Below are 13,884 nucleotides of genomic sequence, written 5' to 3' on the forward strand. Positions count from 1 at the left end.
AGAATCGCCTGAACTCAGGAGGCAGAGGTTGCAGTGAACCAAGATCGCACCACTGTACTCCAGCCTGGGCGACAGAGCGAGACTCCGTCTCAGAAAAAGAAAAAGAAAAAAAAAAAAATAACACCTAAACGCACAGTCAGACTGCCAAAAGCTAAAGTCAACATGAAAATATTTAAAGCAACCAGAGAAAACTGACATCATGTACAAGGCCAGTCAGTATAATTAACAGCTGACTGCTGATCAGAGTATTTTAAAAATCAAAACAAAAACTTCTGATCAGAAAAAATGGAGGTCAAAAGGCAGTGGGATGACATATTCAAACAGCTGAAATTTTTAAAAATTGCCAGTCAAGAAATCTATACCCAACAAAACTATCCTTCAAAATGAAGACGAAATAAAGACATTCCAGATTAACAAAGAGAAAGAGAATTTATTGCTATCAGACCTGATTTACAAGAAATACTCAAAGAAGCCCATCAGACTGAAACGAAGTAATACCAAATAGTAACTCAAATCCACAAGTAATAATGGAGAGCAGAGGAAACGGTAAATATGTAGATTAACATGGAAGACTCTAAAAAAATACTTTTTGTTATTTCTTCCATTGACTTCTTTAAAAAACATAATTGTATAAAGCAATTGTTAGGCTTCCAATATATACAGTACGTACACGTGCACACACACATATACACATACAGATTCATACACATTCATGTATATGAAAGAATGGCAGTAATAGAATAAAGAAGGGGCAGGGAATGAAAATATACTGGGGCAAAGTTTACATATTTTACTGGATTTCAGTTACTGTTAATGTGAAGTAGATTGTATATAAATGGCCAATAAGCACATGAAAAGATGCTCAACATCATTATCCATTAGGAAATCCAATAAAATCACAATGAGATACCACTTCACACCCACTAAAATGACTACAATAAAAAGACAGACAACAACAGGGACAGGCAAAGATAGGCAGAAACTGGAACCCTCATTAATTGCTAGTGGGAATATAAAATGGTGCCAGCACTGTGGAAAAAAGTCTGGCAGTTCCTCAAAAGGTTAAACATAAAGTTAACCACATGCCCCAGCAGTTCCATTCCTTGGTATATACTCTGAAGAAATGAGACCACACAAAACCTTGTATGTGAATGTTCATAACTGCATTATTCATAATGACCAAAAAGTAGGAACAACCCAAGTACACATCAACTGATGAGAAGATAAATAAAATGTAGTGTATCCATACAAGGGAATATGATTTGGACATAACAAGAAATGAAATACACCATACTGATACATGTTACAACATAAAGTTCAAAGCTAAGTAAAAGAAGCAAAACACAAAAGACTACATGTTGTATGAGTTTATTTATATAAAATGTCTAGAAAGACAAATTTATAAAGACCAGAAGCAGATCAGTGGTTTCCTAGGGCTGAGCATGGGAGTTTGAATGAATGGTAAAAGGGCACTAGGGAACTTTTTCAGGTGATGGCGGCACAACTCTATAAATTTATTAAAAGTATTGAATTGTCCACCACCAATGAGCTTAAAATTCTAGTGAGCTTTTTACTACCCCAATCATAAATATGAGCAGACCTCTGAATACGCAAGGAAAACCTCTAACATAAAAGTGTGAAACCAAAACAAATGAGGCAAAGGGCCACCTGGAAAAAACAGACTAAACAGGAAGGAAAAAACATCCAAAGAAAGCCTATCATTACCTTCCTTAGAGATAAGAAAATATATCAATTCTGGAAACAAGAATGCTATATATTTTCTTAAAATAAAAAAGTGATTGAAAATTAAACATGAGAATAGAAATGAAAAATTAAATTGACTGAAAGATGAAGTTGAGGAAGTCTCCTAATTCTTCAGAATAAAAACCAACGCAAGGAAAAGAGAGAAAATCCTTTAAAAAATGGAGAATTAGTTTAAGAGGTCCAAGATCTAGGGCTGGGCGTGGTGGCTCACGCCTGTAATCCCAGCACTCTGGGAGGCTGAGGCGGGCAGATCACAACCTCAGGAGATCGAAATCATCCTGGCCAACATGGTGAAACCCCGTCTCTACTAATATACAAAAAAAAATTAGCCTGGCATGGTGGTGCGTGCCTGCAGTCCCAGCTACTAGGGAAGCTGAGGCAGAGGAATTGCTTGAACCGGGAAGCGGAGGTTGCAGTGAGCTGAGATCACGCCGCTGCACTCCAGCCTGGTGACAGAACGAGACTCCGTCTCAAAACAAACAAACAAACAAAAAGGTCCAAGATCTAAATGATGGAGGTTCCATGAAGAGATAACAAAAGAAGCAAGGGGAAGAAATCATCAACAAAATAATTCAAGCAATTTCCTAGAACTGAGGGCAGAGTTTCCAGGCCGAAAGAGTTCACAAAGCTCCCTGCAGTATAAATAGATGTAAATAGGAATATAATTGTGAAATTTCTAAGCAATGGTGACAAAGACGACCCTACAAGCTTTCTGAGTAGAAAAAAAGATTGGTCACATACAGAGAAGGATAAATAAAATGGCTTTGGACTTAGCAGTACCGAAAGCTAGATGACAAAAGTGTAATGTTTTCCAAATTCTGATGAAAAAATATGTGTAACCTGCAATTCTATAAGCAGCTGAAGTATTAATTAAACGTGAGGGTAGCATAGAGAACGCCCCATTTTGAGACCTGAAAGGTATTATTAAATGTTTACTTTCCATTTACTTTCTTAAAGCTACTAGAGGATATGCTCCACCAAATTCAAAAGTAAACAAAAAATAATGTAGGCGTGGCATAGAAAAAATAGGAATACCAACACAAAAATGCAAAGGGATTGCCAAGACAATGGTGAAGGAAGATCCCAGAATGAGAGCTACTTATTACAAGTCCTACTTGACTTTTTAATCAAATACCTGGATAATAATATTTTTTATTTATTTTTTTTTTGAGATACAGTCCCACTCTGCGGCCCAGGCTGGAGTGCAGTGGCATGATCTCGGCTCACTGCAACGTCTGCCTCCCTGGTTCAAGTGATTCTTTTGCCTCGGCCTCCTGAGTAGCTGGGATTACAGGCACACAACACCAAGCCCAGCTAATTTTTTTGTATTACAGGCGTGAGCCACCGCGCCTGGCCGGTAAAAATACTTTTAAGTGAGTATTCTTAATCACCATTAACCCCAGAGGTAATTGATGTTACTATTTGGTATTTAGCCTTTCAGAAGTGATCTGTGGGTGGTAAACCTTGATCTTCACATGTCCAAACATACCTTTATATTGACACCTTATAGTTAAATGTTAGTTTGATTAGGTACAAAATTCTTGGTTCTAAACAATTTGCCTCATCCCTCTGAAGATACTGCTGTTTTTTCCACTATTTCTAATGAGATGTCTGATGCTAATGTTCCTTTGGACATGAACTATATTCTCTTTGGAGGCTTTTAAGATTTTTCTCTTTATTCTTGGATCTCTTTTCAATTATCTGACTTGGTCATTAACAGGCCCTTCATCTGAAGACTCATGCCTTTCTTCAGCTGGGAATTTTTTCTTCTATTTTTTCTTTATTTTTTTACTCTACTGCCTCTGTTCTCTGCTTATGCTTGAATCCCCCTGACCAACCCTCTATTGTCATTTATTCTCAAATTTTCTATCTTTTATATTTTATATTATTAATTCCCTATTCACTTATATGCATTTGTTGTTTAAACCTTATACATTTCTTTTTTTTTTTTTTTTTTTTTGAGATGGAGTCTCGCTTCGTCACCCAGGTTGGAGGGCAGTGGCATAATCTCAGCTCACTGCAACCTCTGCCTCCCAGGTTCAAGTGATTATCCTGCCTCAGCCTCCCAAGTAGCTGGGATTACAGGCATATACCCCCACACCTAGCTAATTTTTATATTTTTAGTAGAGATGGGGTTTCACCATGTTGGCCAGGCTGGTCTCGAACTCCTGACCTCAGGTGATCCACCCGCCTCAGCCTCCCAAAGTGCTGGGATTACAGGTGTGAGCACCGCACCCAGCCATAAATTTATGTCTTATGTTTTTAATACTAAGAACATTCTTTCCTCCTCTGATTGCTCTAATAGCAGGGTGTTTTTGTAGATGAAACATCTACAGATCCTCTCTGAAAATACTAGATTTTTTTAAAAGTTATTTCCTGACTTATCTACTTCCTCTGGGGCTAATTTTCCTTCCTTATCTTGGTTCCTCTCTTTAATGTTGTGTTTCTCTCAAATGTCTGCAGATCCTTAGCTATTCATTCATATTTATAAGTGAAGGATAGATTAGTGTATGTAATTAGCATTAGTTTTTCTGAAACTTATGTAAGTCTGTTTTTCCACTGTCCTACTCTGAATGGGAGGTCTGATACGATCTGTTTGTGAGTTATAGATAGATGGTTATTGGCAAGTGTTACTTTAGGGTATGTAGGCATGGAAAAGTAGAGATTCCCCTCCTCCCAGGTATCAAAAGTATGAGAAATTTACTCTTGGGATGGAAAACTTTAATGTATTTTCCTTCACTGCAGAGCTACTTCTCCTGTTTCCTTTTCTTTATATCTGCGGTAGAATTTTGCAGTTAACTCAGGTTCCTCTGTTTCTCTCTGAGGCCCCTATACCCACAGCAAGAGCTTTCCTCAAGTAGGCAGTTTACTTTCTTCAGAAAATTAGCTGATTTTAGCTTAGAATCAAATGCACCTGCTGCCTTTTGTTCACTGTAAGGAGGAGGCTGCCCCTACTGTTTCAAAGGTAGAATTAAATTAATTTACCCTTGAAGATGACCCATGACTCTTTCCTGCTTCTTGTATATATTCTTTCAGCCCATTTTCTCTGGAGCTACTTTCATTTTCCTAGGCATCTTCTCTTACACATACTTTAAGCTGTGGCTTCTTCTGCTCTGATCAATCTGACCTTTTCTGCTTTCTATCTTCCATGAATTCCTCACAACAGTTGATTTATGTCATGCTTTTGTTTCAGAGCATTGCTTTTAATTTGGTTTTTAAGAAATCTTTTCTGAAATTAAGAAATTTGAGATAGCAAGAGAGATGGGCACATGAATTCAGTTTACTATCTTGATCCAATTTCCAAAGAAATCTAAGATGTTAGTTTAGACATCACATATCCAACTACATCAATCTTCTACTTAAAATAGTCCCTCAGCTCCAGCACAAAGTCCAAGCTCTCTGGCCTAACATACTGGATCCTTAACCCAACTTTTGTTCATGCTGTCCATCAGACAGGAAAGCACTGCCTTTTTCTCTGCCTGGTATCATTACCTGATGCTTACTTAACACTATATTATAAATCCTTGTTTACATGTTCTGATTCATCACAAAAATTGTGAGACCAAGAGCAGAGATCTTACTAGTCCTTGACTTCTCAGCACCCAAAGAACTTATCATGTGGTAACTATTCATTTTATAAATGAGAATCAGGCATTAAAATGCCATGGAATCTTAGAGTCAGATCTCAGACCAGTGAACCACAGATAACAGAATTTAGAGCTAAAAGGGACTTTAAGATTATGTTTGTTAAACGAACAAAGCTTTAAGGCCCAAGAACTCTGCAAACTTCCTTGTACTTCAGAGCAGAATAAATCACTCCATCAAATATAACCCTATTGTACATTATTCATGCCTCTCTTGCAGCCCTTATCTCCCCAGTCTGTCATTAATTTTTTTTCTCAAGGATTAAGACAGTGCACGTTCATTTTTGTGTCACTTGTATTTTGGCATAAAGAAGATACTAAGTCAATATTTAGGGTATGAGTGAATACATGAATGCTCAGGAGAGCAGAATTTTGTGCTGGTTTCTACTACTAACTCATTCAAACGTAGGGAGTGAGTCACTTAATCTTTCTGAGTCTTAATTTCTTAGGCAGCAATTATATTTGATTATTTCACAAGTGGAATCATCTGTTTGAAACCAACATGGAAAATAATGACATGCTACCATAATACAAAACATATCCTCCATGTAAAACTAGTAAGGATATATAGAGCACTGAGCTAGTGCTGGACAAATGTTCTGAACTAGGGGAGAACAATGTCCTTGACAGCCTTAGTGGTTTTAATTGTAGATACTAAACCAGTACAAGTTTTTACCAAGCAGGTGTTATCCTCCCTGCCATATGGCATGAACCCCAGGGCTCTTCCTCCTCAATAACAAACAACATAGCTACAGCTTTACTGCAGTCTCCTTTATAAGACCTCAATGACATCTTTTTTTGTTCCTTGCCACAGTGAAAAGAACCCTAAACTGAGATTCACAAGACTCAGTTGTAATGTGGTTCTAATTATAAGTCTTCAGGAAACTCTGTTTTTCTGCCTATGAAATGGAGATGACAATACTTTGTACATAAGTAATTGTGAGGCTAATCATGCTTACATAAAGTTTTTAACACCGTGCATCGCAGGCACTCAATATTGATAGCTATCACTCTTCCTACAAAAGCATAAAGACATTTGAGCCACAAAGCACAATTCGGCTTAAAGCCTCTTCTTTAATAATTTACTATTCAAAGATCCTATATTTGCAAATTCTTTCCCATCTTTTAATCACATCTCTTCTATTTGATGAAAGGCAGCACAAATCAGGGGAAAGCAGTATAGGCTGGGAATCAGATGCCTATTGCCATTAACTCTTTTCCATTTCAGTTTTATCATCTACAAGGATAATAACTTACCTCAGTAAGCTCCTGTGAGGATTCAGAGAGTCAGTAAGAAAGGATCCAACAGGTTGCAAGGCACTGAACGTGTGAATATTGTTTTTTATAATCAATATGTGTAAAAATGACTCCGAATAAACCAGTCCCCACTGGTGGAAGCATGGTTCAAAGTATTTTGATGGTGACTCGGTATTGTGTTAGAACTTAACCACTCTTCTGCTTAAGTTCTTTAAGCGTCTCATCACCTTTAAGATAAGTCAAACTCCTACATGATCTGTCCTGCTTACCAATCCTCCTCATCACCCACCTCTACTTCCTTCACTATTCACATTCTAGTCATAACCACTTCGCAGTTCCCTGTGCAAGTATGCCTCATGAACTTCCTTGCCCACATACATGCTATTCTCTTTCTGTGTGGAATACCCGCATTTCCCCTTAATCCCTGCTCTAGATAACTAACTCATTCAGCTCAGACTTTACCATCAGGAAGCTTTCTCTGACACATCCAACCTTTCATTCAGTAAATGTTTACCAAATGCCAAGACTTGCCAGATGCCAAGGATATAACAATTAACAAGTCAGAGACAGCCCCTGGCTTCATGAAGGTTAGCATGCTGCACTATAATTGTCTGTCTGTGCCTTCAAGCACAAACAGGAATCATGAAGAACTGGCTGCTTGAGGTCTTCAACCTCAAGACTGGGAGGTTCTTAGGTACTGGGACATGTCTGACCATCTCTGTAATGTCACTTATTCACACCGGACTTGGCATAGGATAAACTAGGGCTTTTGCAAATGTTTAGTAAATCAATATGGCATAACCACCTATGTACAAGAGACAACATCAGATGTAAAAAATAAATAGCAACCAGGTGTGGTGGCTCACACCTGTAATCCTAACACTTTGGGAGGTCGAGGCAGGAGGATCACTTGAAGCCAGGAGTTTGAGAACACATAATGAGAACCACATCTCTACCAAAACTTTTAAAAAATTGTCTGTCTGACAATTTGACATCACACTCAATAAGCTGAGTGTGATGGCTTATACCTGTAGTCCCAGCTATTCAGAGGGCTGGGGCAGGAGCATCATTTGAGCCCAGGAGTTTGAGTTTACACTGAGCTATGATCACACCATTGCACTCCCGCCTGGGCAACAGAGCAAAACCTCGTCTCTTTAAAAAAAAAAAAAAAAAAAAGCAGTATTCTCTTATATGCATCACATTTTACTATTTATAGGACCCTTTCAAATACATCAACATCACATTTTATCCCTGTAAGTGCCCTGGGAAATAGAATTTGTAAGTTAAGAGAGACAGAGAGATCATCTAGTTTACTCTCCAGCCAATTCTTCATGATTTCTATAACATCCATTTGAGTGTCAAAGCATTCATTACAACTTCAGAGGACAGAATGAATGACTTTAAATGAATAAAATCTGCTCCCTTCAACAATTAGTACTAATCTTGGTTTTGCAGACTCCATAGACCAAAGAGGAAATTTTCTTCTAAGTGTAGGTATCTGAAGACATGTCCAGGTGAGGGCACAGTGTATCATCCTCATTTTATTGATGAAGAAATTGAAGCTCAAAGAGGCAAACTGACTTTCCCAAGGTTCAAAGCTACAAATTAAAACTGAGTCTAAAGCCATACCTTCTGGTTCCAAAATTAGAATTTCTAGAACATTTTACGACTATTATGAATCCATAAAAATTAAAAATAAAAAAATTATCACAAAGAAAGAATTTCTAGGACATTAAAGCTGAAAGGGATACCCCCTATTTATTATATCTAATTTCTTTATTGGATAGATAGGAATTCTGAGGCCAAGGGTGCAGGAGTGACTAATATGAGTGCCTCCCAGCTCAGGCTCTGCCTCTACCACACTGTCTTGATCCTTACCTCCACATCTGCCCACATCAAAATAGAGTAAATAAAGACTTACCAAGGCATTAGAAGAATTGTAATCCTCAGCTGACTTATCTGCACAGGAAGAAAAACAAGGGACTTAGTCAATAACAGTTACAGTTAAATTTTTCTGGACAGCAAAAGAAGTCTATCTGGTCAAGCACGTGCCAGATTCAGAGAATAGTAATAGTATGACTGGTACTACAGGCTAGATATCATGCTAAATGCATTATACATATCACCTTCTTTAATCCTCATTATGGCTCTGAGTACTATTATTATATCTACTTTTATTGATTTGGAAACAAGTTCAGAGATGTTAAGTACAGTTGGGTGTGGCTTAGCAATGGGGTATGTTCTGTGAAATGTGTCATCAGGTAATTTGGTCATTATGTGAACATCATAGAGTGTACTTACACAAACCTAGACGGTATAGCCTGCTACATACCTGGGCTATATTGTATAGCCTATTGCTTTCTAGGCTACAAACCTGTACAGCACGTTACTGCAGGCAACTGTAACACAACGGTAAGTATTTGTATATCTAAACATAGAAAAGGTACAATAAAAAATATGGTTTACAAGGTAAATAAAAGGATACACCTATATGAGCACTTACCATAAATAGAGCCTGCAGGACTGGAAGTTGCTCTGGGTGAGTCAGTGAGTGAGTGATGAGTAAATGTGAAGGCCTAAGTAGGACATTACCAGTGTACACTTAGGCTATGCTAAATTTATTTTAAACTTCAGGAATCACTAGGTGATAAGAATTTTTCAACTCCCTTATAATATTAATTATCAGACCACCATTGTATATGCGGTCTGTTGTTGTGGCACATGACTGTTATTTGCCCAGGGTACACACAGGTTAAAGAGAGGAATTAGATTTGAATTCTGGTCTCATTCTAAATACTACGCTAGAACTGTATCCACATCATCAGCTATATCACTGTCAGGCTTAAATGGCCAAGAAAATCTGCATTCTAAAAGAAAAGGAAAGAATCCATAGCACCATCCTGAGTCATCCATGCCAAAACATGGCCAGTCTCCAGTTTCAGCTTTCATAAAGGATCCTTCTATATCCATATCTACTGCCCACAAGGACAAAAGGACTAAGGTTGAGGAAAAGAGAGGTATTGATCCTGTCAAGTCTAATTAAAGGTAGGGTCTTGTTTTCCAAGAATAGAATCAAGCTCCCTCAATGAAGCAATTACCATGTTTCACTGATTCTGAGATGTACATTTTTTCACATTAACGTCTCTGAAACAGAGGTGTGTCCTACTTTCTAAAGCATGTTATGGTTTAATTGGCAGCTTTATTTTCTTTGATTGGTATGCAAATAATTGTACATCTTACAATCAGTGGTATCTTAGACTTCATAAAATTTGAAAGAGAGACCCAATGGAGATCTTAGGAAGAAAGTAAGTTTAAAGACCAGGTAATGTCTTCAGTTTTGTTCTTTAATTCCCCTGGGTCCAAGAAAAACTGACTGCCAATTCACCACTAATAGAATTAAGGAGGGGAAATATTCTACCAAATCCAATATATTCCTCACCAAGAACCAAGCCCAGAGAATGTACAATTCCAATTCCATCATGTAAAAAAGTGCTAGATACAGCTTCTTTGACACTACAGCAAATCATGAACCCACAAAGCAGGAAATAAGGCAAGCTCTGACAACTTGTTCTTATAACAAATCCAGAATAGCTAGCAGTATTCTGGAGAAATAAATTCAGGATATACTTTAAACATAATTCGTTTGTTTTTTCTTGTCCAAAAGACTATAGACTATCAACTTTGGCAGAGTACAACACTATGCCTTCACTGCACTACCCCCAACTTTACGTACTGCTAGTATTTTTGAAGATTGGGTATTTTGGTAATAGGCATACTTGTTATGTCATATAAAAATAAGTAAACACTCCCTTTAAAGGTGATGAACTTCTATATATCAAAATCAAATTCCAAAGCACAGAATGATGGAACAGAAAGTGCTTCCAGCACTTTCATTTTACAGATGAGCAAAATGAGGTGCAGAAAAGGAAAAAGATTGGTTCAAGGTCACGTAAGTCAGTGGCAAAATAGGGCTAAGACCCAGTTGAGTTGTCAATCTAGTCTACTTTTTCCCTATTACATTAGCTACTAACAGGTATAAAAAATTAAGTGTTGCCAGGCACATGGCTCACGCCTGTAATCCCAGCACTTTGGGAGGCCAAGGTGGGTGGATCATGAGGTCAATAGGTCAAGACCAGCCTGGCCAATATGGTGAAACCCCATCTCTACTACAAATACAAAAATTAGCCAGGCATAGTGGCATGCACCTGTAGTCCCAGCTACCTGGGAGGCTGAGGCAGAAGAATTGCATGAACCCAGGAGGCAGATGTTGCAGTGAGCCGAGATCGCGCTGCTGCACTCCAGCCTGGGTGACAGAGTGAGACTCCATCTCAAAAAAAAAAAAAAAAAAATTAAGTGTTGAAAAAATAGAAATACTTGACAAAAAAATTAGCATGGAAGATTGTGCTTCGGTTATAGGCAGCAAAGGAGTTAAAGGCCCAACTTAAAATACATTTCCATCATGTATCAGCTGAGTCACTTGGGGTATGTCATTTAACTTCTCTGAGCCTAATTAATTTCTTTGAGTATATAAAATGAGCATAATAGTCCTTGCCCTGCCAATCTAAGGCCATCATAAGAATCACATGAGGGAGCCAGGCTCAGTGGCTCACACCAGTAATCCCAGAACTGTGGGAAGCCAAGGTGAGCAGGTCACTTGAGGTCAGGAGTTCCAGACCAGCCTGGCCAACATGGTGAACTGTCTCTATTAAAACACAAAAATTAGCTGGGGGTGGTGGTGCATGCCTGCAGTCCCAGTTACTCAGGAGGCTGAGGCAGGAGAATCACCTGAGCCCAGGAGGCACAGGCTGCAGTGAGCCAAGATCACACCACAGGACTCCAGCAAAAGAATCACATGAGGTAATTCACATGTGAGCATATACAAATGAGGTAGTATTATCATAACTAATAGTATAAGAGGATGGTAAATAGGGAAAGGAGAGATATGACACTTAAAAAAACCTATACCAAATATGCAATTTTGCCTAGAGTTGGCCCTAGTCTTCAACTTATAGAAAATTAAAATTCTTGCATACATATATATACATGTGCACAAATTTATACATACAAAAGTAGATGTACACACGTATCTGTACATATACACTCAATATTATTCATATGTGCATGCATGAATGAACATACACATAATTACCTGAATGTTTATATTTATACATATGTTCGTTCATGAATACCTGAGTGGACTTTATCTTTGTTCATGAATACTTAAGTAGGCTTTAATTCCAAATATATGCAAACCCACAGGGCTATGTCTCTGTTTACATACACATTTACATGCCACTAGCACATATTTACATACATACATGCAGGAAAGATCCTTGCAAAGACTTGGCCACTGAGGTTTTCAAAGACAGCCTCTAACCTGATGTTTCCATGACAAGTTCCTTAAACACAAACTCTAATTTCCTGACTAGAAAACTTTCCCACTCAGTAGCCCTCCAGCCCAATTCCTCCTTGAAATGACTCAGTCCCTCAATGGAGTAAGTGAGACAGACTCAGCGGGGCCAGACGAGAGGAAGGAAATACTGCTGGGCACATGCATGGCCCTCTCCTGGGCACCACCATAGCAGCATGAGTGAAGCTGCAGCCTGTCATCTCCACCATCTGTGCCCTTGAAACAAGCCAGATACTGGCTGGGGAAAGCATCCTTCAAAATTCACTAGTTCATCCTGGTTCTCACCTTCCCAACAATACTGCCATTTGAAGGAGGCAACATGAGTAAAGAGCCTAGAAATTAAAAGATTAGCCCACTATTAATTTAGCATATTAGAAAGGCCTTCTTTGGTTCTCACACCTGCAAAACAATGGAAAGCTGGTCCGCTGTGGAAGGAGAGCCTCCAAATAACATTATTAGGGGCAAGTAGTAAATTCAAAAGGTGATGTTACAGGAATTAGGAGACCTGGGTTCTAATCCCAATTCTGCTATTAAAAACACTCTGAAAAATATAGTCCCTTCTACCGAGGGTACATCTAAAGAAACTTATTCTTTATTGGCCTGTTTTTCATTTAACTAATAAAAATTAGTTCCCTGAGGAAGACATACATTAATGTTATTAAATAACTAATAATAATATTAACAATAATGATGACAATGATAGCTACATTTCTATGGTGATGTTTTACAACTTATAAAGAACTCTCACATCAATCAGCTCACTTATTTCTCACTATAACCTCTTTTTTTTGAGACAGGGTCTCACTCTGTTGCCCAGGCTGGAGTGTAGTGGTGTGATCCTTGCTCACTGCAACTCCACCTCCCAGGCTCAAGTGATCCCTTCTCCTCAGCTTCCCAAGTAGCTGGGACCACAGGGATGCACCACCACACCCGGCTAATTTTTGTATTTTTTGTAGAGACAGGGTTTTGCCACGTTGCCCAGACTGGTCTCGAACTCCTGACCTCAAGCGATCCTCTTGCCTTGGCCTCCCAAAGTGTTGGGATTACAGGCGTGAGGCACTGCGCCCAACCATTTCTCACTACAGCCTCTTGAGATAGGAATTCCCATTTTGAGATGCAAAGAAATGAAGTGACTGGTAGAACCTAGTAAAGGTCAGAATCTAGACCTTCTAGCATAAAACCTGTGTTCTCTCTATATAATACCATGCTATTTTTAAAAAAACGTGTGCAGTGACAGAGTGAAGACTCAAGTTTGATGCAAAGTCCATCATCTTGGCTGTCAAATTCCAAAATTCCACGTTAAAGTGCCACTTCCACTCTTTCCACTACTTTCTTCTCTCATCCCAGACTAATAGGCATGTGAGCTTTCCCACCCAGATTAAAACCATCTCTTGCTGAGACTGCCCTGGACGCAGTTCTCATACCTGTAAAGCTCATGTATTTCTGGCTGTTGGATGTCTTCTTCGAGTTGTAAAACTCCAACACATCCAGAACAGCCTGCGGGTTTTTCTTCTGCTCCGACTTAGTGATATTTGATGTCTGAAGCAAGCGGGCCCACTGCTCTGGCATTCCCTGTAAGAGAGACATGCAAGACTAACAGGAAGGCACAGTCACAGGGGAGCCTGAAAGAACATCAGAGCTAACTTTGACACTTGCTAGCAGCAAAAGATGCATTTATTAGTCATTCCTTTCTCTCTATACTCTCAGAGTTTACACAAGCCTCTTTTATAATATCTTTCTCATTGAATTAGTCATTTCTTAAGATGTCTGCTCCTTCACCAGGCTATACCTCCAGGATGGTAGGATAGG

The 13,884-nt window shown here is 38.7% G+C and overlaps 1 protein-coding gene across 50 annotated transcripts in view; it reads right to left on the reverse strand.

The window, feature by feature from the left end:
* The window catches only part of PAK1 (p21 (RAC1) activated kinase 1), a 207,993-nt gene that overhangs the window by 43,725 nt on the left and 150,384 nt on the right, over window positions 1–13,884 (reverse strand). For 48 of the 50 annotated variants that reach the window (NR_164797.1, NR_164798.1, XM_024448560.2 and 45 more), the window contains 2 exons: window positions 13,500–13,647; window positions 8,587–8,624 (listed from right to left, as the gene is read on the reverse strand). Coding sequence is in view for 48 of the 50 variants with exons in the window: in XM_024448560.2 (XP_024304328.1) it covers window positions 8,587–8,624; window positions 13,500–13,647 (186 nt within the window). In the remaining 2 variants the exon portion in view is untranslated. Of the gene's footprint in view, window positions 1–8,586; window positions 8,625–13,499; window positions 13,669–13,884 lie in introns of all 50 variants that reach the window. The other 2 variants (NM_001376272.1, NM_001376301.1) reach the window with 2 other exon arrangements.

The sequence above is a fragment of the Homo sapiens genome, chromosome 11 (genome assembly GCF_000001405.40).
Source record: "Homo sapiens chromosome 11, GRCh38.p14 Primary Assembly".
Classification (NCBI taxonomy): domain Eukaryota; kingdom Metazoa; phylum Chordata; class Mammalia; order Primates; family Hominidae; genus Homo; species Homo sapiens.